Below are 24,397 nucleotides of genomic sequence, written 5' to 3'. Positions count from 1 at the left end.
TTGAGAGGGCCACACGGCTCGGTGCCCACATGGCTGCCAGGTGGGTGGAGTGGGCTCAGGAGGCGGGAGCCTGTGATTTTTCTAGAGATGACTGAAATCCAGATGTTGTGTGAAAACTCCTAAGTTCAGGATTCTTATAAAGCCCATTCTCATTTTAGGAACTCGAGGGTAAGAAACAGGTGCCCCCTTTTCTTGGCTCGTGCTGTCATCTGTGCCTTGTGAAGTGTCTAAACACAGGGTGAGAAGTTCCTGCCCCCACCCACTCCACGCAGCCGAGAGTCCCCAGGATATCCATGCAGGGATTGTGTTAGGTGGTTGGACACAGGGTGCTCCGAAAACTGTGGACCATGGCATGGCGCCTTTCTTACAAAGAAAGAACATGCGCTGGACATGAAGCCACACACACCCTAGGGGGATCCCTCATGTATAATTGGTGCACAGTAAATATATTTTGGTTTATAGCTAGAGACTAAATAGAAGATTAAACTATTGATTTGGGATTATCAATGTCATTGTTACCCTGACATTCCACTAATGTGAATAATTGGCAGCAGACTTAGGTCCTGCATTAGGAAGTCTTCTCAGCTTTCCTTCTTATCATTTCCTTCCTTTCCCTCCCTTCCTCCCTCCCTGTCCCTCCCTGTCCCTCCCTCTCCCTCCCTCCTTGTCCCTCCCTCTCCCTCCCTCCCTCCCTGTCCCTCCCTCTCCCTCCCTGTCCCTCCCTGTCCCTCCCTCTTCCTTCTCCCTCCCTCCCTCCCTTCCTCTCCCTCCCTCTCCCTCCCTCCTTCCCTCCCTCCTTCCTTCCCTCCCTCCCTCTCCCTCCCTCCCTCTCCTTCCCTCCCTCTCCTTCCCTCCCTCCCTCTCCCTCCCTCCCTCTCCTTCCCTCCCTCCCTCTCCCTCCTTCCCCTTCCCTCCCTTCTCCCTCCCTCCCTTCCTTCCTCTCCCTCCCTTCCTTCCTCTCCCTCCCTCCTTTCCTCTCCCTCCCTCCTTTCCTCTCCCTCCCTCCTTTCCTCTCCCTCCCTCCCTTCCTCTCCCTTCCTCTCCATTCCTCTCCCTCTCCCTCTCTGTCTCTCCCCTCCCCTCCTCTCCCTCCTTCCCCTCCCCTCCTCTCCCTCCCTCCCTTCTTACCTTCCTCCCTTTTTTCCTTCCTTCTTTCCTTCTCACCTTCCTTCTTTCCTTCCCTCCCTCCCTCCTTTCTCCTTCCCTCCCTTCTTTCCTCCCTCTCACCTATGCACAGTTAGCCATCCATCCATTCATCCATCCATCCATCTACCTCCTTCCCTCCCCTCCTCCCTTCCTTCCTCCCTCTTGCGTATCCACACAGTGAGCCATCTATCCATCCATCCATTCATTTATCCACCTCCCTCCCCTCCTTCCTTTCCTCTAATCCCTCCCCCTGCAGAGGAGAAATTTCTTTTCCTACTACCCTCCTCTCTACCTGGGGCCCTGAAATTGAGCTGACATAAGACAGTCGCAAGAGAAAAATGGTTTGTGAACACATAGAGCACCCGTCAGTGAAGAGTGTCTGAAAAAGTGCCTACAGCTTGGGCTGGGTTGGTGCCTCAGAGCAGGAACAGTACATTTGTAGAGAAGCGACAAGACAAAGGGAAAGGACTGTGAGTTTCTAGAGGGCAAATTATGGGGCGGCCAATCTTTAGGAAAGAAACAGCAGCTGAAGGCTAGTCTGTTGGTGAAGTCAGCTCTGTAGGTTCCTCCAGGGCGGGGCTGACAAGGGTCTAAAGCTGTCTCTAGTGATGAACTTCTGAAATTTACGTCTTGCTTTGAGGCACACCAGTGGCGGGGGAAGGCAGCGAGCTGTTCTCGCACCTGCTTTTCCTCCATCGTCTTCAGCTCAGGACTGTCCTTATGCCCAGGCAGCATATTTTGGGGTGGCCTCTTCTGCCCCCTGCACTCCTGCCCTCCTTCCTTGCTCCTTGTGAATGATTTCTAACAAAGAGAATAATACGGCAAACATCTGTGTCCCCAACTGTACCAAGTTTGACCTTGTCCTGTAGTTGCTGGAATTGCTTTCAGGAAGTTCATGGCTCCAAGCAGCGCGGCCCACCCTGTCTTCCTCCGAGAGGGAACTGCTCTCCTGCATTGGGCATGTGCCTTTCCAGTTGACTGCTTCTGTGCCGTTACGCACGGTGAAAATGCCCATGTACCATCTGTAGGACTGTGTGGCATCTTTCCAGCCTTTATCTGGAAATGATAGTATGTGGTTTGAATCCTTCCGTGAATTGCCTTCCTTTTGCACAGTGTTATGTTTCAGGGATCATCCACATGTAGCTTGGGTTCATTCATTGTCACAGCTGTGGAGTTCATGGGAATGAAGAGACCACAGCTTGATCAAGGGGTCCCTAAACAATCAGGGTGACCATGCATTTCCACATGCTGCTTTGGCAGGGAACAATCTTCTATGCCTTTCCATATGCACGTGGCCTCGTCCTTCCCCACAGAACGCACCCAGAAGTGGAATTGCTGGTTCAGCATGGCCCCTCCTCCCCCAGTCCCTGCCATCCCTGGGTCAAGCCAACTTTTATCCAACCCTTTCTGTACTCCTGCCCTGCAGAGGTGGGGGATGTCATAGATGCAGCCACCAAATAGTGGATGGCTGTTCCCAGAGTTCTGTGTCCTTCTTAAGAGCCTTGGTCTGGCCAGGCACGGTGGCTCACACCTGTAATCCCAGTACTTTGGGAGGCCAAGGCGGGTGGATCACCTGAGGTTGGGAGTTTGAGACCAGCCTGACCAACATGGAGAAACCCTGTCTCTACTAAAGATACAAAATTAGCTGGGTGTAGTGGCGCATGCCTGCAATCCCAGCTACTTGGGAGGCTGAGGCAGGAGAATCGTCTGAACCCGGGAGGCGGAGGTTGCGGTGAGCCGAGATCACGCCATTGCACTCCAGCCTGGGCGACAAGAGTGAAACTCCATCTCAAAAAAAAAAAAAAAAACAAGAAGCCTTGGTCTAAGGTGGCCATTGGCAACCTGGCCTGACTCTTTGTGGGGTAATTTTTATTGCACTTGACCTTGAGGAAGCTGCACTCTCAGCTGCCCCTGCCTCTTGGGGACCCCCAAGTCTGATGGCTGCAGTCTGCTCATGACTCTTGGTTCCACTCCAGTCCTGGTCTGGGAGATTCTCTCATCTGTGGGCCTGGCCCTGGCCTTTTGTTCTGTTTTTACACGGTACCTATCATTGCTCTGTGTTTGAAGCAGAGAGGGTTATTATAGCGTGAACTTGCTGCCATTCTGACCTGAAGCCCATGTTTCTTCCTCTCCTGAAGCTCTGTCCTCCAAGGAAAACAAAAGGCAGCCTTTTTTCTTACCTTGGGTAGCTCAGACAGCCCCAGTGGCCCTCTGCATCATCTTTGTAAGCTGTGGTCATCCCCGTGGCTAGCTCAGGCTCCTTTTGAGTGCCGGGGTTTCACAGCGCTGGTACCAGAGTTTGCAGGGTTTTCCTGGGTCCTGGCTGCCGCCTCTGGCTCAAGCTCCAGGGAGGAGCAGGCGGTGCCGACTTGTGTCCGCCCTCTGGGATCTGTACATTGTGCATACCTGGGGCCCTCGGCTGGTGGTCACACCAACAAACACAGACTGTGAAACCGAGCCCACGTGTGTTCCAGCGCCAGTGTCCACCGTGCCCCTGGGTTTTCTTTCATTTTCACATCTCCCGTTCTTTGTCTTCCTTCTCCCCACCTCGAAGACACAGGCAGCCATGCCGCGCAGCCCAACATCCAGCGAGGACGAGATGGCCCAGAGCTTCTCCGACTACTCCGTGGGGTCGGAGTCAGACAGCTCCAAAGAAGAGACCATCTATGACACGATCCGGGCCACTGCGGAGAAGCCGGGCGGTGCCAGGACGGAGGAGAGCCAGGGCAACACGCTGGTGATCCGCGTGGTCATCCATGACCTGCAGCAGACGGTGAGCCCCGTGGTCTGCCCTTTGGTTCACATCTGGACAATGTCACCTGTGGCTTGAACGCCAGAGGCCTGCTCTGGTCCTCCCCGGACCCACGGTCCTGACTGCTCTGGGCACACCGTGCTCCTTCCTCGCTCCATACTTCTGCCCCCGTCCCCCCAGGCTCCCTGCCGTGCCCGCCTCCCCTCCCTGCTGCCGCTGGCCTCACATCATGCTGTTGCTGTCATTGTCCCCAACTCCATCCACAAACATTGACTGGGCACCTACTGTGTGCCAGACCTGAAGCAAGAGTCCCAGAGGTGGAGAGGAGTGTTTCACAGCCTCATAGAGAAAACCCGGGCGGCAGGTGCACCCGCAACTGGCTTCTAGCACCAAGTGCAGGAGGCTCTCAGGCCTGGCCCTGCCTCTTCCTGGTGCCGGACTCTGCTGTGCCAGAGGCCCAGCATCCCATGCTCCCCCACTTCCAGGGGGTACAGCCCTGAGCACTCCTTCCCGCGTGGCTGCTGTCCGCCTCCTCCTGTCCCTCCAGCCCTGGGCCTAATGTCATTCCTGTGCCGCCCAGAGCCCTCAGGCTGCCCTGGCCCACGCTGGCTGTGTCCTGGATGTCTGTCCTTATGCCTGGGGGTCCCTTTTGTTGGATTTGCCTTCCCCGAGGAGGTTGGCCCCTGGGAACTGGGGCTGTCTGTAAAGGGGAGCTTCGTGTGCAGAGGAAGGGGTGTGGCTTCATCTTGTCTGTAAAGGGGAGCTTCGTGTGCAGAGGAAGGGGTGTGGCTTCATCTTGTCTGTAAAGGGGAGCTTCGTGTGCAGAGGAAGGGGTGTGGCTTCATCTTTTGCCTGAATCCACCAGAGCAAGCTGGGGGCCAGTCGCCCAGCCACGTTCCCTCTTGCTCACGGCGGGGACTGTGCCACATGTGGCCTCAAATCGGAGATGTGGGACAGAGCTGGAAGCGTGGAGCAGACATAATGGTTGCAAACAGGCGCCTAGTAGGGTTGGCCTGCGAACATTTCACACGCCGTCTGTCCACCTGGGGAATGTGGGTGGGGGTGGCAGTAGTAGGGGCAGTTGGTACGAAGCCCATTTGCTGTGGAGTAGACATGGTAGACATCCAAGAGTTAGGACTCAGAGGGGCATCTGGGTGAGGCTCGTCACAGTCTCCATCTGTGCTTTCTAGAAGGGTCTCCCTCAGTGGGCTGGGAGGACCCTTCTCATTTTAGCTTTGGGTTAAAGGAATGGGGAGAGGTGGGCTGGTGGTGTAGGCTGCTGCAGGTGCTTGAGGGGGTAAGCCCAGTGCTCTGCATCCACCCCGACCTCTATGAGTACAGTCTCCCGGCCCCAGCCACGATGGGGAAGGGGGGCCCAAGTGCTGGAGATCGGGGAAGCATCATGCTGCCTACTGGCTGAGTGTTGCTGGTGCCTCACTTGGTGCCCATCCAGGGTCCCAGCTCCTGGTGCTGTGGAGGAGCTAAGAGATGCCCTGGGGTTAGCACCTCTCAGGGCTTGGTCCCCAGCGAGGGCTAAATGTGTGTCTCCTCTTCCCCCAGTGCCAGCAGCTTGCGGTCCAGCAGGCACCCTCTGCTCAGCCCACCCCCAGCCCTGCTCCCTCTGAGAGAGACGCTAACTGGGCTGAGGGGACTAACGTGCTGACACGTGCCCTCTAGGGATGAACTCAGCCAAGTGGCTTCACCGTCTAGGACAAACTTGTCCAACCCAAGGCCCGTGGGCCACATGCAGCCCAGGACAGCTTTGAATGCGGCTCAACACAAATGCATAAACTCTCTTAAAACATTCTGAGGGGTTTTTATGCAACTTTTTTTTTCTTTTTAGCTCATTATCTCTCTTTAGTGTTAGTGTATTTTATGTGTAGCGCAAGACGGTTCTTCTTCCAGTGTGGCCCAGAGAAGCCAAAAGATTAGACACCCGTTGTGGGGGAGGCTCAGGGTGGCCTGATGCCCTAGAGCTAATCTGGCCATGCCACTGGCCCCAGGGGCTTCCCTGGTAGTACAAAGGCTGTTCAGGAGGATAGGCGTGGTCTTTTGGAGTTCCTTCTCCTATATTATTTAATGCCTCTTATAAAAGCTATAAATGATTGTTATGAAAAGTTCAAGTAATGCAGGAAAGCACAAATGCCAGACTTAGCAATGGTGATCACATCAATACTTGGCAGAGCCCTGTTCCGACACGTCCCTCTGCAGGATTACAGGCAGTGGGTGGAAGTGCATATGGATAGAAATACCTTGGTAAGCGTGGGCTCAAACCACACACGCTCTTAAGAAATGAGCATCATCAATGTTATTTTATTTGAATATAAGAGGAGAAAAAGATGGTGAAGGAAATGCTTCTTTTATTTATTTATTTTTGTCACAAGAGACTTTTTCCAGCTAAATCTGTGAAGGTAAAAGAAGTGATTATGAAACACTGGAAGGCTGGAATTTTTTTTCTTTCTTGTTACAGTTTTTTTTCCCTTTTCACTGTCCCCTCTTCCTATATCATTTAGGGGTAAACTAAGCTCATTGCTATAATAAAAGGCCTCCAAATGTCAGGCACTTAACACATAGATGCTTTATTTTTTTTCTCTCTTCTCAGTCCACCTGGGTTGGCAGGATGGACAGGAGGGAAGTTCTGATCCATACAGACATTCAGGTACCCAGGCTCTTTCCATTAGATAGCTGGACCATTCCCTGGAGCTCTGGAATCCTCCACGGGGTCCTCTGTATCTGCCCAGAAGATGAGGGAGGAAGAGACAGAACTTGTAAAGTGCATCCATCACCTTCCCTGGTTTCATGAGGAGGTTGCACCTGACTGCAGAGTAGGCTGGGAAACGCAGTGGAGGTCTGAGCCCAGGAAGAAAAGGGCATCAGTTTGGTGAATGAGTAGCTAGTTATGTGTGCATGGGTGCACGCATGCGCACACTTTCCCTCCCCCACCTCCTGAGCCTTGTTGGGTGTGGACAGTGACTTGTTTCACACTGTCACTGTCCCTCCCACTTACTATCCACTGTGCCTCCAGGGCCCGGAGCCACTCTGTCTCTCTTGCCGGGGTCACTGCCATCATTTGCCTTTGCAATGCCCTTTTCATTTGCCAGATCCTTTTCTGGTTGTTATTTTGCTTTTAATTGGAGGGAATTCACTGTTCAGTGGGTTTTTTTTAGCAAGAGTTCCTAAGAGCAGTGCTTTCTCGGTGAATGGATGGTCGATGCTCGTTATCGGTGGTACTTGTGTTCTAAAAAGTTGCCACAGATGCTGAATGAGTGACGCCTTGGCCATTGCTCCCAGAGGAAGTGCAGTGTTCGATTCCTACAAGCCCCTGGTCACATGTTTGACCATAGGTCAATACGGAATCTTACTTTATGTATGTTGCTGTTTAAAGATGCCATATTTACTATGTAATGTTGATTCGTTAACATGGAACTCACAGCCAACAGTGCTCTCAGGCAGGCCTCAGTGGAGCTTCTGTGGCATGTTTTCTCTGTGAAGCTCATCACAACCTTCTTGCCTTAGGAACAAGTAGGCAGCACTTCAGCCCTTTGCTGGGACCCCTCTTAAATGGCAAAATCACCAACAAAAAGCACAAGCAATGTGAGAATGACATTCCATGGGCTGCAGTCAGACGCTTGTTTACAAGATGAGAGCTGAGACAAGAAGTCGGACCACCACCTTGATCAACCTCCCGTGGGAACCCGCGCATCGGGCAGGCTGAAACCTTTGGCTGTTTTGTGCGAAAAGCATGGATTTTGGGGTTACAAATAAATTTTAGCAAGTAGGCATACCCCAATACAAAATTCATGAATAGTGAGGATTGGCTGTGTTTTGAAAATGTCAGCTTGTTCCCTCCAGCTTGAAAACTCTTTTCCTCTGTGGGTTTTTTGTTTGTTTGTTTGTTTGTTTTTTGAGATGGAGTCTCACCCTGTCACCCAGGCTGGTGTGCAGTGGCGTGATTTCTTCTTACTGCAACCTCCACCTCCCAGGTTCAAGTGATTCTTCTACCACAACCTCCCAAGTTGCTGGGATTTCAGGCGCCTGCCGCCATGCCCGGCTAATTTTTTGTATTTTTAGTAGAGACGGGGTTTTACCATGTTGCCCAGCCTGGTCTTGAACTCCTGACCTCAGGTGAACCACCTGCCTCGGCCTCCCAAAGTGCTGGGATTACAGGCCTGAGCCACTGTGCCTGACCTGCTCTGTATTTTTGAGTCACAATTTCCCGTCTGTGGGGATGTTGTTTGATTGTCTTCCTGCCCTGAACATTGCTTTGAATACATTTGAGGCCAACAGATTTATTTTTTCCATCTCATAGGTGACTTTTTTTTTTTTTTGGACTAGATTCCTAAAGAAGTGGCTTCCGTTGCTACACCAGGAAGTGTTTGGTGTTGGGCATTCTTGGTTTTTCCTAGAAAAACTTTCTCTCTGCAGATTCTGTTTAAGGACATTTTCATTTTAAGAATGTTTTCCTGTATTTTGTTACTTTTTCTGTGTTATCGGTTGGATCCTTTATTTCAGGGATAGTAATAATTCCTATACTGGATTTTCCTTGTTCATATCTGTTATCTTTTTCTCTAATTGCTTTAATTGCTTGGCATTTTTCTGCTTGTTTGCCATTTTTTTTTGTTTGTTTGTTTGTTTTTATTGAAAGAGAGTCTCGCTCTGTTGCCCAGGCTGGAGTGCAGTGGTGCAATCTCAGCTCACTGCAACCTCTGCCTCCTGGGTTCAAGTGATTCTTCTCCCTCAGCCTCCTGAGTAGCTGGGATTATAGGCATGCGCCACCACGCCTGGCTAATTTTTGTATTTTTAGTAGAGACAGTGTTTTGCCATGTTGGCCAGGCTGGTGTCCAACTCCTGACCTCAGGTGATCTGCCCGTCTCGGCCTCCCAAAGTGCTGGGATTACATAGGCGTGAGCCACCGCGCCCGGCCTGCCATGATTTTCTTGAGCTTTTAATTGTTGTGTTCTCAGTTAGACCCGTTCTAATTTTTGTGATTTCTAATTTACTGTAGTCATGCTCCTTTGAGTTTTTGTTTCCATAGCCCTGCACTCTTTCTTTTTGAAAATACTCTCTTGAGTTGTTTGTTTGGTAGGTTTTCTGTCTTATTTTTGTCCTCCCTGGCATCAAGCATTCTCGGGGGCTTTTCTTCTTTTAATTGTGGTGAGTTTTCATGCAGCTCAGAGACCGTTGGAGGTTTGCATGCCGTCTTTCTTGCTGTGGTTCATTTTGTGTCTGTGCGGGGTCCCTGTGGCTTCCCTGACATTTCTGCCTGTCTCGTCTAGGTTGGCTGTCAGTAGTTTGGGCTTTCTGTTGGTTCGCATAGTGCATGGGTGAATTCCGTTTGGCTCCATCATGAAGTTAGATTTGGCCATCTGTTTGCCTTTGGAGAGGAGCAGGCCCAGGGCTGGGAGAGTGGAGTCTACGTGCAGGGCCTGGAATCCCTGTCTTTCCTGAGACATTGTATTAGCCCATTCTCATGCTGGTAATAACGACGCTGCTAACTACCGGAGACTGAGTAATTTGTAATAAAAAACAGGTTTAATAGACTCACAGTTCCACATGGCTGGGGAGGCCTCACAATTATGGTGGAAGTTGGAGGAGGAGCAAAGTCACATCTTCTTGTTGTTGTTTGTTTGTTTGAGAAAGAGTCTCGCTCTCTTGCCCAGGCTGGAGTGCAATGGCGCCATCTCACCTCACAGCAACCTCTGTCTCTTGCCTCCCAGATTCAAGAAATTCTCCTGCCTCAGCCTCCTGAGTAGCTGGGATTACAGTTACCCACCATGACACCCAGATAATTTTTTTTTTTTTGTATTTTTAGTAGAGAGGGGGTTTCACCATGTTGGCCAGGCTGGTCTCGAACGCCTGACCTCAGGTGATCTGCCCACCTCGATCTCCCAAACTGCTGTCAGCCTTGAGGTAGACAGCACTGTGAGCATCTTTGTTGAAGGATAACACACCCGTCCACAGGGCATGTGTCCCGTACACTCAAACGGAACGCAGCATGTAACCTGCAGGTGGAGGAAGGCGTAGGACGCCAGCCAGCCCCGGGAGCCCCACTGCTCCCTCCTACTCATGGGGAGGGTTTATGCTTAATCCCACTTTACAGATGGGAACAGGAGGGTCAGACTTCAGAGCCAGTGAGGGGCAGAGCCACTGTCCTGGGGACACCCAGCCTTGGGCCTTGAAACCTGCTGGATGGAAGCCCTGGGAGGCTGGCGTTGGGTGTGCCACCAACTGCTTGGTACTGGGCTGATTTGCACCTGCAAGTTGAATTCCCGGCAGGAAGGCAGCCAGCAGGCAGCGCTGCGTGGGAAGCAGCCCCGGCCCCAGTCGTCCTGGCATGAGTCAGAAGCACGTCTCCCTCGCCATTCACTCTACACTTTTGGGCGAGGGTCTGAAGATCTGAGCCTCGGGGTTCCACCTGTCGGGAACAAACACCACTTGTGAAGTGAGCCATTGCGGGTTGGCGTTCAGCCCGGGGAGCAGCCACAAGGGGCCCATTACTGTTTCTGTTCTCCTGGGTCCACCCTCCTGCTGGTGCTACCCACACTCGGAGGCTCTCATCAGCCACGTAGAAGGGAGGCCCCGGTCATCTCAGCCACTGAGGTCCTCCATCGGCACTGGGGCAAGGGTGTTGGGAGATCAGGGGCCTTCTACACCCGGCCGGACCCTGCCTCCCTGCCTGTTTGACGCTTTCCTTGGCAGGGTAATCTTCCCCTTGCAGGGCAGGGGCTGTTTCCCCAGCAGGTGTTCTGCCCACTTTGCTAGAGTCACTGGAGACCTGTTGGAGTGATGGATGGAGCCACAGGTCTGCTCCAGCCCAGATTTAACCTACAGCACCTCCTCGTGAAAGCCAGGGCCTCTTCAGGGTTTAGTCTCTACTCGTGGGAGCCTGGTTGTTTCTGGAACCTTCTGAAGACCACTTTGCTTCACTCTGTTCAAGACAAACAAAGCCCCTGGAGGCTGAAACCAGAAATCCCCCGGGTGTGAGCTCTCAGCAACAAAGCAGACATTGTTCCCGTGTGAGAAATCCCTTGTGGGGCTGAGTCCTCTGTGGAGCCAGGGACACGAGACAGTTCCTGGAACCCTGCCCGGAGGAGCCAGCCAGGAGCTGCCGAGTGAGTCTGCACCGAGGCCCCAGTGCCCGTCCACTGGGAGTTGGTGCTGGAGAAGCACCTGGGCGGCCCCTTTTCTCCCCCAATGCCACCCCTCCTCCGCTGCTGTCCGGGCCCACTGCTGCTGGCCGAGTGAGTGCTGTTTCTGAGCCTCACCCTCCAGTGGAACTGAAGCTTTAAGTCATTGAGTGAGAGCCTCTAGCAGTGCTCACAACCCTTCAGGCACAACCGGAGCCCTCACTTGAATAGTCGTGTGTGGGTGGGCTTCCCGGGCCACGCAGGGAGTGGTGGGGTGGGCTCTGGGCACAGGGAGGGCAGCCTCTCTGCATCCTCTCAAATGCACAGTGGTGGAGTGCTGGCTCTGGACATTCAGCATGGCCTTTAAAACAAGTGGCATGTGCCAAAATCAATACAAACTGGTGAGCTCTGTTATTTCTGGGGGAGTGTGAATGAGGAAGAGGGAAGAAAACTGGCCCCGTGGCCCAAAGTGGTTTTTCTTTTATTTATTTATTTATTTTATTTTATTATTATTATACTTTAAGTTTTAGGGTCCATGTGCACAATGTGCAGGTTAGTTACATATGTATACATGTGCCATGTTGCTGTGCTGCACCCATTAACTCATCATTTAACATAAGGTATATCTTCTAATGCTATCCCTCCCCCCTCCCCCTACCCCTTTAATCCACAGTGAATGCCATGTTGCAAGGAGAGCAGAGAAGAAAATAGAACGGGGCTGTGGCGGCCTTTGTCGGGCTCTGCTGGGGTGTCTACGTCGGCCCCGCATCCGCCTCTCCCTGAGGCCTGGCACCGAGTAGCTCAGCTGAAGCTGTCACTCTGAGGGCTGATCCTTGCGACCTGGCCCACCTCCCAGCAGACGCTCAGGGAAAATGAGTGTCCCATTCTGTGCTTGAGTCAGTGCTTCCATTTATAAAGCACGTGCATCTTCCAGTGGGGTACTTCATTTAGGAAAAAGCATTTGCACTGCCAACCTGACCCCCTCAAAGACCATGCATTGTCACTCAGCTGTCCTCCCTCTCTCCCCGCCTGTACAGTCACTCAAAATCCCCACTACCTTTGCCATGCTGGGAGGGCCCTGCCCTCTCATTCCCGCTGTGCTGCCTCACCCTGTGGCATGCATCTGCTGACGGGGATGTCCTCTCGTCTGTCTGCTGCTTCCAAATGGACTCTCAGATTTTTCTTTTTCTTTTTCTTTTTCTTTTCTTTTTTTTTTTTTTTTTGAGATAGGGTCTTGCTCTGTCACTCAGGCTGGAGTTCAGTGGTGCAATCACAACTCACTGCACCCTTGGCTCAAGGGATCTTCCTGCTTCAGCTTCCCAAGTGCACGCCACCACACTGGGATTTTTTTTTCTTTTTAGTAGAGACAGAGTCTCACTATATTGTCCAGAGAGGTTTCGAACTCCTGGGCTCAAGTGATCCTCCCACCTCAGCCTCCCAAAGTGCTGGGATTACAGGCGTGAACCACCGCGCCCGGCCGGATATGCTTGATTCCAAAGTGGCCTTGGCCCGTCTGCTTATTATTGTGGATTAAAATAGAACCCCAAAAGTAAGGAGGTTTCACCTCCTCCACCTTCAGGATTTAATCCCCTCTTTTTGGTCACAGGCACATAATTACCGCATTTGCATTTTGTATTTGAGGATTCCTCTACTTTTGAATATTGGGAGGACTCTACCTGTGCTGGCAACGTCTGAGCCTATCTTCCCCTCCTGTACCTGGGGCTGGCTCCTCATCCTCAGAGACCATGAGGCGCCCGGCCATTGTGAGAGGGGGCTCTGGACGGCCGGTGCAGGGGTGGTTAGTTACCGTTAGAAGCTGTGTTCAGGTGCTTTGCTGTGTGAGTGCGCCCGCCCATTGTGAGAGAGGGCTCTGGGCGGCTGGTGCAGGGGTGTGGTTCGTTACTGTTAGAAGCTGTGTTCGGGTGCTTTGCTGTATGTGTGCGCCCACCCATTGTGAGAGAGGGCTCTGGGCGGCTGGTGCAGGAGTGTGGTTCGTTACCATTAGAAGCTGCATTCGGGTGCTTTGCTGTGTGTGTGCGCCCGCCCATTGTGAGAGAGGGCTCTGGGCGGCTGGTGCAGGGGTGGTTCGTTACCGTTAGAAGCTGCGTTTCGATGCTTTGCTGTGTGTGTGTCTGATTCCTTGCTCCTGGACCCTGCAAGGTGAGAGCTGGGTGTCTTCTAGGAGTTGATGGAGTCCATGTGCCTGAGAGATTGGCAGCTTGGGTGGTCGTGATCCTGAATGGCAGCCTCTTAATTCCACTTCAAGAAGGTTTGTCCTTGTTTCCCTCGGGTGGATTTTTCCAGGTAGAAAGCCAGTTCTGGTCAGATTTGCCTTCTGCTGCATTCTGTTCAACACCTGGGCCTTCCAGGGAGTGGGTGGCGGGAGGGCTTCTCGGCCAGGCCCAGCTCCCTGCAGCCAGCACCCTGGCACCGATAGAACTTCTGTTAGCGGCTCCCTGCACCCAGCACCCTGGCGGCGATAGAATTTCCATTCACACAGCATCCACGGTCACATCTCCTGCTGCAGCCTCCTTTGGGGGGGCTGGGCCTTATTTCCCCCTCCATACCTTCTCTGTTGAAAGCCCAGATGCCCCTCAACTCAAGTTGTGCAAAACCAATGCTATGACCGTAACTTTCTCTAGGAACCTCCAGGTCTGGCCCCACTGTTATTTGCTCTCTTAGATAGCAGTTACCTTTTTTTTTTTTTTTTTTTTAAGTAAGGATTTTAATACTTATTTTAAAAAAGGATTTAAAAAAAAAGAAAAGACTAAAACTTTCTTTTTTTCAAAAAGTTTTCTTGAGTTATAATTTATAAATTATAGGATTTACTTACTTTAAGAATACAATTCAGGGCTATGCACAGTGGCTCACACCTGTAATCCCAGCACTGTGGGAGGCTGAGGTGGGTGGATCACCTGAGGTCAGGAGTTTGAGACCAGCCTGGCCAACATTGTGAAATCCAGTCTCTACTAAAAATACAAAAATTAGCTGGGCATGGTGGCGCATGCCTGTAATCCCAGCTACTCAGGAGGCTGAGGCAGGAGAATCCCTTGAACCTGCGAGGTGGAGGTTGCAGTGAGTGGAGATCGCGCCACTGCACTGTAGCCTGGGCAACAAGAGCAAAACTCCATCTCAAAAAATAAAAAAGAATACCATTTGATGATTCCTAGTGGATTTGCTGAGTTGTGCACCTGTCACCACCATCCTGGTGTGGGAGGTTTCCATCCCTTATGCTGGGTTGCAGTGGATCCCCACCCCCACTTCCAGCCCCTGACGACCAGGAAGCCACTTTCTGTCTGTGTGGATTTGCTTATTCCAGACATGGAGTCAAACAACATGTGGCCTTCTGTGCCTGATTTCTTTGACTCAGCATAATCAGCTTTTTTGGGTATAAATTCAGTGGGTACAAATGCAGTTTTATTACATGGGAATGTTGCATAGAGGTAAAGTGTGGGCTTTTCGTGTGACCGTCACCTGAATGATGTACTTTGTATCTATTAAGTAATTTCTCACCCCCCACCACCCTTCTGAGTCTCCTGTGTCCATCATTCCACGCTCTGCATTCCTGCACACACATTATTTAGCTTCCACTTATAAGTGAGAACATTCAGGATTTGAGTTTCAGTTTCCAAGTCCTTTCATGTAAGATAATGGTCTCCAGTTCCATCCCTGTTGCTGCAAAAGACATGCTCTCCTTTTTTATGGCTGAGTAGTATTCCGTTGCACATATGCACCACGTTTCCTTGATCCAGTCTTGGTGGACCCTGAGGCTGAAGCATGACAGCTTTGAGGTCCATCCCCAGGGTGGCGTTTAGCAGAGCCCTGTTGAGCCTTGTTCTGATTCTCATCATCTTGCATGGAGGGACCACATCTTGTGGATCCATTCCCACTCAATGGTCAGCTGGATTCTTTCCACTTTTTCGCCGTGGGGACCATCTTTGATTCAGCCGTCGCAACCAGAATGTAGGCGTCCTCCTGAGCTTCCATCTCTACAGCTCCTATAGCCAGTCCCTCCCTAAGTCTGGTCACTGTACCTTCTAGACCCCCGCAAGCCTGTGTTGTTCCCTCAGCCTTCATCACCACCCCACCTTTCCTGTCATCTTCCTCTTGGGCAACCAGAACAGCTTCAGACCAGACTGTCAGAAGTTCTCTAGGTGAGGCCTTGGGTGGTTGTGTACATGTGAACACCGTGGCCACCGCTGAGCCCAGCCCTCCTGTGACTTCTTCCCGGTCTGAGGATAAAAATCAGGTCCTCCCCGGCTGGGCACGGTGGCTCATGCCTGTAATCCCAGCACTTTGGGAGGCTGAGGCAGGTGGATCACCTGAGGTCAGGAGTCCGAGACCAGCCTGGCCAACATGGTGAAACCCCATCTTTACTGAAAATACAAACATTACCTGGGTGTGGTGGCTGAGGCACGAGAATTGCTTGAACCTGGGAGGTGGAGGTTGCAGTGAGCTGAGATTGTGCCATTGCACTCCAGCCTGGGTGACAAAAGTGAGACTCCATCTCAAAAAAAAAAAAAAAAAAAAACATATCCCCCCTAGTCTGGGCACACACCTATTGGAAGTGTGCAAGTCAGTGGATTCTTTTTCCTGAGGATTCCATGGCTCCATGGCTTCTCCTCGGTCTCTTTGTTTACAGGGGGATTTCACAGCTAAGCGCCTGGGGGGCAGCTGGGCAGCAATTCCGCTCCACAAGGACACCTAGTGCAGGCTCTGCTCATCCTTGTACCCCATCAGCCGGTACAACCGAGTGAATGCTGGGTATCTGGCTATGGAGTGAGTGAATTCATTTAAACCCTTGCCTCTGTGGGGTGAGGCGCCAATGGCTGTACAGAGCCTCAGAGGATGGGAGAGGGTCTTTGCTTGGAATCTTCTAGGGTGAGGGTCTTCAGGGACAGCCAGCCTGAGGTATGCACAAACTTGGTGTGTTGGCTCAGCAGAGAAGGCTGAGGGCTGCGGGAGCAGTGTGTGTGAGGCAGCAGAGGTGGGCGGTGGGCGTCCAGGTATAGGGTCATGACAAGGAGGCCATGGTTGTATTTGATGGGCAGAGGTTTGGTACAGAGCATGTGACATCGTTTATATTTGAAAAGGGTAATCTTGGCCTCTCTGGTGAGAGGAGAAGGATTAGAAGAGATGGGGGCTCCAGGTAAATGGTGCTGGAGGCTGGGACCCTGGGAAGTGCAGGGAAAGCTGGAGACCCACAGACGCTTCCCTATGACAAAGCCAGTGGGGCTGTCCTGGAGAGAGGGTTTAAGATGTGAGGCCTGCGTCTTTGCAGTTTCTCAGCTCATGCCTGTAATCCCAGCACTTTGGGAGGCCGAGGCGGGTGGAGTATTTGAGGTCAAGAGTTTGTGACCAGCCTGGCCAACATGGTGAAACTCCATCTCTACTAAAGATACAAAAATTAGCCAGGTGTGGTGATGCACGCCTATAATCCCAGCTACTCAGGAGGCTGAGGCAGGAGAATTGCTTGAACCTGGGAGGTGGAGGTTGCAGTGAGCCGAGATCGTGCCACTGTACTCCAGCCTGGGCGACAGAGCAAGACTCCGTCTCAAAAAAAAAAAAAAAAAATTGAGATGTAATATACATGCCATATAATTCACCCATTGGAAGTGTGCAAGTCGTTGGATTTTAGGAAATTCACGGATGAGTGAGCCCATCACCACTGTGAATCTCAGGAAGCTTCCATCCCCCCAAGAGGAAACCCCACCCCTGTTGGCAGTCACTTCCCCTTTCCCCCTCTCCCCTCCCCAGATGCCTGCTCTGGCCATCGTCAGTGATGGGGTGGCACCGCACGTGGACTGAGAGGGAAGCCTTGTCTCAGTTCTTTGCCTCTCCTGCTGGAGATGAGCCCCTCCCCTCCCACCTGTGCTGTGTCCAGTGCCCACTCCGGGCCTCCTGCCACGGAGGAGCTTTCTGCACTGTCAAGTCACCCAGTCCACCGAGAAAGGTAAAAGCTCTTTTATCCACGAATGTAGCCGGGTGCAGTGGTGCACAACTGTAATCCCAGCTACTCAGAAGGCTCAGGCAGGGGGATCACCTGGGCAACGTAATGAGACCCCTTCCCTAAAAAAAAAAAAAAAATACATAGTTTTCCTTTGGGCTGCCCTTTCAGTTTCAGATGTTTTGTTCCAGAATGTTCTCTCCCAGTTGCTTGTTAGCTAAATGAAATTCTTCTGGGATTATAGACTTAATTAGAAGTTTAGGTATATGTTGCCTTGACATGAGCACATTTTCTGCCCTAAAAGAAAAGTCATCAAAAAGGACTTGGGCAGAAGATGGTAACATGATAATGGTCTTTATTCAAAAACTTTGAGTCCATGGAGTGTGGCCCAACACTGACTCCAGCCTAACCAGGGAGGCCCCCTAGACCACCCCTCCACTCTACGCTTCCACCCACCTACCCACCCATCCCCTGACCCTCCAATCCATCCACATCCCCCCTCCACTCACTCATCCGTCTATCTATCCATCCAGCCAGCCAGCCTGCCTGCCTGTCTGCCTGCCATCCATCCGTCCGTCCATCCCTCTGTCTCTCTCTCCCTCCCTCCCTCCGTCTGTCCGTCCGTCCCTCCCTCCCTCCCTCCATCTGTCCATCCATCCTTCCCTCCATCTGTGCATCCACCCAGCCACCCACCTACCCAGCCAGCCAGCCAGCCAGCCATGCATCCTCCCAGCCACCCACCTACCCAGCCAGCCAGCCAGCCAGCCAGCCAGCCGTCCGGCCGGCCATCCATCCATCCATCCATCCATCCATCCATCCATCCATCCATTCATCTGTGCATCCACCCAGCCACCCACCTACCCAGCCACCCATCCATGCATCCACTCATCCTCCTACCCACCTCACCCCTCCCTCCCTCCCTCCATCCACTCATTCACCCATCTATCCATTCTCTTGATTATAGAAATACATGGTTAGGATCTTTGGTCTCCACTTTGAGTAGCCCCGCCATGTCCTTTGTAGTATGCATTTGGATTACCTCTTGGGGAGGTAGAAGGCATGGAATCTGATTGTGGTTTCATTAACTGGTTGCTAAGACCAAAGAGAGTGCTGCTCCCCAGCCCCTCAGCCTTCCCTCTGCCTCCACTGTCTCTGTAATACAACAATGAAAACTAGCCTACCTGTCCTTAAGAGGAGTGGTTTACACTTGACTATTTTAGTCAAGAAACTGGTGAGTTACAAATTGTTTAGAAAAAAAGGGAAGGCTGTGGGGCCTTCCAATGAAAGTTGCCATGGAAAGTCAAGCCTTGATCATATTGGTTATTATTCACGTCACAGGGCATCCTCGATAAAGGCAGAGAAGGACTTTGTTTTCTTACACGTCATTTAAAGCAAATATTGTAAGGATTATATGTGGACCCTTCCTCTGTTACGTATTGGGTTCGTGCTTTGTATATGGGAGAGATTGGCCCAGTTTGCAGGGTCTCCGTAGCCTGCACATAAAACGTCTTGACTTGAGGTGCTCTTCATCGTTGGCTTAGAGTTAATGCCTACTTAAATCTCATGGAGAAAACAATGTACGGGAAAAGTGACTTTGGTCTGGAATTACTACAAGTTCTGTAGCAAAGCTCTGTAAATCCCACAGTGTAGGGGGAGTATTGTGGTTTGGGGCCATGCTGGTGAGGAGCAGCCGTCCCCTCTTTGCTGGCATCCCAAGCTGGTAAGGCTTATCCAGAGGGTGGCAATACCAGGGCCGCAGATCATCAGTTTTTACTTTTCTGTGTTAAATCCAAGGGTGAGGCTTTTTTCCAGCATCTTTGCTCTGAGGTTGGACCTGGGCGATTCCTCCAGCCTGGCTCCGACTCTGCCTCCCCGCCAGCCTCCACCCTTCCCTCGCTGCTCTCCCTTCTGGGCGGACAAGGCCTCCCACACCACAGCTTCTGAGCAGCATCTGCGTCCCGGCAGCAGCCTCACCTGCCTCTGTGGCCTCGTCGCTAATCCACTTTCTGACCTCCTGCTGGCTTAATCTTCCTGACTCATGGCTCCGTCTGTGTGCTGCCAGGATCGAGTTGGACTCATTAGCTCGGCCTCGGGGACCCCCTTAATCCCTGCTCCTCCTCTTGCAGCTGTGTGGCTCTGGGAATGATCTGGCATTTTTGGAGCATTCCTCTTTGGGCCTGGGGGTGCTAATGCGGCCTCCCGGAGAACATAAGGAAGAGATGATGTGTTTAACATGCTTACGAGCCAGGCTATGGGCACATAGTAAGTGTTTTGTGTCTGCAGTCAGGACTTTTTAATTATAACCCCCCTTCCATGGCTGACTTACTTCACTTCAATTTATTGCTTCTAAAGGGACTTCTCTGGCCAGCATCTGATCTCTGCTTTACAATGGCTCTGCCTGAAATCATGGCTATGAAAAGAGGAAGATTAAGTCACCCCCAAGGAGTCCATGGACCACTGGCAGAACCAAGCAGTGTCTCCCAGTTTAGCATCACCTTGACAATAGCAGAGACAGACAGGCAGCCTCTTACTAATCGCCTGGAGATACAGTCTGCCCACCGCTTCGCCACAGCATCCAGCGGCTGCCATGAAGCTTTCACTGTGCGAAAAATGTTCTGATTGGAAAAACGAATCCACAGCTCCGTTACCCTTTATTGGCGTTTAAACATGCAGAAGCACTAAGCCTGACTCTTGGACCTCAGCACCCCCCGACTAGGCTGTCCTTCTGAGTCGAGGTCACCCCACATTTCCCTGTTCCATTGACATGTCTGATTTCAGCTTCGTGTGTTACCCGTGCCGGGGTTTTAGTGTTTGCCACCACGAGCACCAGCCCAATGGGCCTCTGTCCGCAGTAAGAAGTATTATTTCATTTGGATAATTGCATTTGGGAATAAACCAATTGTAGTTTGGGGTGACCTTGATGTTGGTTATTTGTTGGAGGTGTGCAAGTACACGGATTGCACGTGAACAGCTATCAAAGACCCGAAGACGCCTGCGCGCACCTTTCCGTGGCCCCTGCCAAGCTTGTGTTTATGACGGGTCCTTAAAAATGCATCATGCAGAACTTGATGATGACAGAAACCGTAGCTGCAGAGGAAATTCTGAATGTGAAATGCGCTTCTTTGTAATGAATGACGTGCTCAGAAACTTGGAGTTTTTTCCGGCTTTCCTAAGTTCTTGCTGAACGCTGCTTACATGCGTTTGCAGAGCTGGCATCTTGATCGTCCCCGGGGTCTGCGTTTCTGGCTCCAGATCCTGAATAGGGAATATCCCTGTGGGGCCACGACCTGAGATGCTCTGGCATTTCCTCCCCCTTGTTCTCTTGGCTTTTCCTGGGCTCCTTGGGTAGAAGTCAAGAGGAAGGTGGATGTAAGTCTCACCTGAGGAAGGTGAGTTAGCAGATGCCGTAGAGGTGGAGGTCCCTGAATCCATCTGTGTAATCCAAGCCTCATGTTGTAGATGGCCCTTTCCACAGCTTTCAGATAACCCATGGCAATAAGACCTATTTTATATGGTATAATATTTACCATTTTCTCAAGCTTTGTCTAGACACTTCCTTGCCCTCACTACAATCTTCCAAAATCACCCGTCATCATCGCCATTTTACAGGGCCCAAAACAGATTTGGAAAGCAATTTAGTCTCTCACAGGAAACTCTTCTTGCTACATTGCTGTAAATCAAAACAGCCTTGCCCAAGAAGCTCCTGTGACCCTGGCAGGCCGGATACTTTTCGGCGCTGGTTTGCTGCTCCACCATTGTTTATGTGTCTTACTCAGCAGTGCGGACGTGTCCCAACACAGGCAGGTGGTGGCCCTTGGTAGGTTGCAGAGACTCGCCCCATGGTCATTCAGTGTTGTGGGCTAAGTCTCTCCCCCACCAAAATTTCTATATTGAATGAAGTCATAGCCCAGGACCTCAGAATGAGACTTTATTTGGAGATTGGGTCTTTACAGAGGCAATCAAGTTAAATGAAGTTGTTAGAGTGGGCCCTGATCCCATCGGACTGGAGTCCTTATGAGAAGAGGAGGTGAGGACGCAGACACACACAGAGGGACAACCACCTGGGGACACAGAGAAGGTGGCCGTCTGCAAGCCAGGAAGAGAGGCCTCCAGAGGAACCAGCCCTGCAGACATCTTGATCTCAGACTTATGGCTTCCAGAATGGGAGACAATAAATGTCTGCGGTTTAAGCAGCCTGTTTTGTGGTGCTTTGCCACAGCAGCCCGAGTGACTCATAACTCAGCGTAAGTGGCAGACTCAGGCCAAACACAGCTGCCTCTGCCTGTCTCCAGTGCCCGCATTCTGCCCACAGTCCAGTAGTCTCAGTTCTTAGCCTCTCACCTTGCAGAATACTTGTAACTCATGTGAACCAAGTGTGAGTGACCTTCCCTCACTGTCTCCATTTTTTCTTTTGTTTTGTTTTGAGTCAGGGTCTTGCTCTGTCACCCAGGCTGGAATGCAGCGGTGCAATCATAGTTCACTGCAGCCTCAACCTCCCAGCTCAAGGGACCCTTCTATCTCAGCCTCCAGAGTAGCTGGGACTGCAGACACGTACCATCATGCCTGGCTAATTTTTAAAAATTTTCATTTTTCGTAGAGACGGTTTCCCTATGTTGCCTCGCCTGCTCTTTGGTTTTGATTTGAGCTTGACCATGAACTGTACTAAGAGGGGTGTAGATGTATCACTCTGTTCAACAGCATGGCCAACCCTAGCTCTGTAACTTACAGCTCTGCAGACCTCGGTGGCGTAGCCTCCCCTCGCCAGAATCATTGCTGTAGTTAATGGTCTGCACAGTCCACTGAGTACAAGCAAGACTCAGTAGGCAGAAACTCCCGTCAGCCCCGCTGTGAAGTCCAGACCTTTCTTGACTGTTGGATGATACTACCCAGGAGTGTTCCATGTCTGGAATGTTGATCCAATGCTGTTCAATGCCATCCACGTTTACTAGCTTTGGTTTGGTTATGCAAAGAAAAAGACAGAAATGGCCGGGCACAGTGGCTCATGCCTATAATCCCAGCACTTTGGGAGGCCGAGGCGGATGGATCATGGAGTCAAGAGATCAAGACCATCCCGGTCAACATGGCGAAACCCTGTCTCTACTAAAAATACAAAAATTAGCCGGGCGTGGTGGTGGGCACCTGTAGTCCCAGCTACTCTGGAGGCTGAGGCAAGAGAATTGCTTGAACCCAGGAGGTGGAGGTTGCAGTGAGCTGAGATTGCACCACTGCACTCCAGCCTGGCGAAAGAGTGAGACTCTGACTCAAAAAAAGAAACCCCTGTCCTCAGGCAGCTCGGGCTGGGGCAGGGAGGAGCACTTAACTGGCTGGACGTTGCAGTGGTGCTGAGACAGATGTCGGGGGAGAGAGAGATGGGGAGGAGTAGGAGGGACGGGAAGATGTGGATGGTTCATCTGTGCTAGGACACAGCTCCCTTTTGTGGCTGAGGGGCTTTGTGGTATGAAGGGAACTTAGAGAGAACTGAGGCTGGCCTGAAGAAGTCCTGAGAACTTTCCGGGATCGGTGTGTACATCATCGCAAGGCTGGTGTCAGCCACAAACTCCGTCTCCACAGCTCCTGACCATGTCAGCCCCTGTCCCACTCCATCACCACCCAGGTCTCATGCTGTATGTACTGCCTTTCTGGAGATAAGGGAGAAGACAGCCTGGTTTGTGTCTCGGAGATCTCGTTACATCCATTTGCAGGTTTTCTGTGTCTTGAGCCCCTTGGGCCAGGCACGCAGCAGGTTTCGGAAGGATCTGGACATCACAGCCTTTAGGAGATTGAGTGACAGAGGGACCAACTCCTGCCTACCAGTTAGGAGAGAGTGAGGAGAAACATCCTAAGGCAAAATATGAAACTCAGCACTGCTCCCACCTTCCTGGGAGACAGGAAATGCAAGGTGAAGAGGCCGAGACTCATGGGCCAGACAGGAAAGGGAGCAGGGCCAGTCAGCTGGCCTGAGGGCCGTGGGCAGTCGGAGCAGCTCCTTGTGTTCCCACCCAAGGTGCCCAGTGGTCAGCTCAGCCTGCAGGAGGCCAGGGAGATGACATCGTGAGACCTCGGCCCCGGTGGAAAGGAGAGTGGGGCTCCAGCCGGCAGACGCGGAGAGGATGGCTGGTCCACCAGAGGCTGGGGCGCGGGGTTGTATGCAGCCTGGAAGGTCTGAACAAAGGGAATATGTCTTCTGATCCAGAAATGACCTGAACATCAACATCTTCTTCAGTATTCTCAATGACTTACATAACAGGCATATCTTAGAGATAGTGAGTCTGGTTCCAGACCACTGCAATAAAATGAATCTTGCAATAAAATGAGGCACACACATTTTTTGGTTTCCCAATGCACATTAAAGTTATATTTATACTCTATGTAGTCTATTAAGTATGTAATAGCATCATGTCTAAAAAAGCAGTGTATATACCCTAATTAAAAAATACTTTGTTAAAAATACTTAAGAATCACCTGCATCTTCAGTGGCCTGTAATGTTTTTGTTGGTGGAGTGTCTTGTCTCATGTTGATGGCTGCCAACTGATCAGAGTGGTGGTTGCTGAAGGTTGGGGTGGCTGTGGCAATTCCATAAAATAAGACAGCAAAGAAGTTTGCTGCATTAATTGACTCACGAACGATTTCTCTGTAGCATGCAATGCTGTTTGATAGCATTTTACCCACAGTAAAACTTATTTCAAAATTGGATGAAATCTTCTCAAACCCTGCACTGCTTTATCCACTGAGTTTATGGAATATTCTAGATCCTGTGTGGACATTTCAACAGTGTTCATAGCATCTTCACCAGGAGTAGATTGCATCTCGGGAAACCACTTCCTCTGCTCATCCCAAAGAGGCAACTCCTCATCCATTCAAGTTTTATCATGAGATTGCAGCAATTCAGTCCCATCGTCAGCCCCACTTCTAATTCCAGTTCTCTTGCTATTTCCACATCTGCAGTTCCTTCCTCCACCGAAGGCTTGAATCCCTCAAAGTCATCCATGAGAGTTGGAATCAACTTCTTCCAAACTTAATGTTGATATTTTCACCTCCACTTATGAATCGTGAATATTCTTAGCTGGGCGCGGTGGCTCAAGCCTGTAGTCCCAGCATTTTGGGAGGCCGAGGTGGGCAGATCACGAGGTTAGGAGATCGAGATCATCCTGGCTAACGGTGAAACCCTGTCTCTACTAAAAATACAAAAAATTGGCTGGGTAGGGTGGTGGGCACCTGTAGTCCCAGCCACTCAGGAGGCTGAGGTGGGAGGCGGAGGTTGTGGTGAACCAAGATCGCCCCACTGCACTCCAGCCTGGGTGACAGAATGAGACTCCATCTCAAAAAAAAAAAAAAAAAAAGTCGTTTATGAGGGTTGGAATCAACTTCTTCCGAACTTAATGTTGACATTTCCACCTCCTCTTATGAAACATGAATATTCTTAA

At 51.3% G+C, this 24,397-nt stretch overlaps 1 protein-coding gene across 19 annotated transcripts in view, besides 2 other annotated features; it reads left to right on the top strand.

Annotated features, from left to right (window-relative positions):
• SHANK2 (SH3 and multiple ankyrin repeat domains 2) overlaps positions 1-24,397 on the top strand; it is a 785,381-nt gene that overhangs the window by 102,196 nt on the left and 658,788 nt on the right. For all 19 annotated transcript variants that reach the window (NM_001441030.1, NM_001441032.1, NM_001441037.1 and 16 more), the window contains one exon: positions 3,701-3,919. In NM_001441030.1, coding sequence (NP_001427959.1) covers positions 3,713-3,919 — 207 coding nt within the window. In that variant the 5' untranslated portion in view covers positions 3,701-3,712. The remainder of the gene's footprint in view (positions 1-3,700; positions 3,920-24,397) is intronic.
• Positions 9,897-10,775: an enhancer, noted in NCBI's record as "H3K4me1 hESC enhancer chr11:70851310-70852188 (GRCh37/hg19 assembly coordinates)". NCBI's record gives its function as "activates a minimal SCP1, AML or CMV promoter by ChIP-STARR-seq in primed H9 embryonic stem cells {active_cell/tissue: H9 hESC(primed)}" and the evidence as "EXISTENCE:reporter gene assay evidence [ECO:0000049][PMID:30033119]".
• Positions 10,776-11,655: an enhancer, noted in NCBI's record as "H3K4me1 hESC enhancer chr11:70850430-70851309 (GRCh37/hg19 assembly coordinates)". NCBI's record gives its function as "activates a minimal SCP1, AML or CMV promoter by ChIP-STARR-seq in primed H9 embryonic stem cells {active_cell/tissue: H9 hESC(primed)}" and the evidence as "EXISTENCE:reporter gene assay evidence [ECO:0000049][PMID:30033119]".

This window comes from Homo sapiens, chromosome 11 (assembly GCF_000001405.40).
Source record: "Homo sapiens chromosome 11, GRCh38.p14 Primary Assembly".
Lineage (NCBI taxonomy): Eukaryota > Metazoa > Chordata > Mammalia > Primates > Hominidae > Homo > Homo sapiens.
The sequence above is the reverse complement of the archived record's forward strand: the minus strand, read 5'-3'. Positions and strand labels throughout refer to the sequence as shown.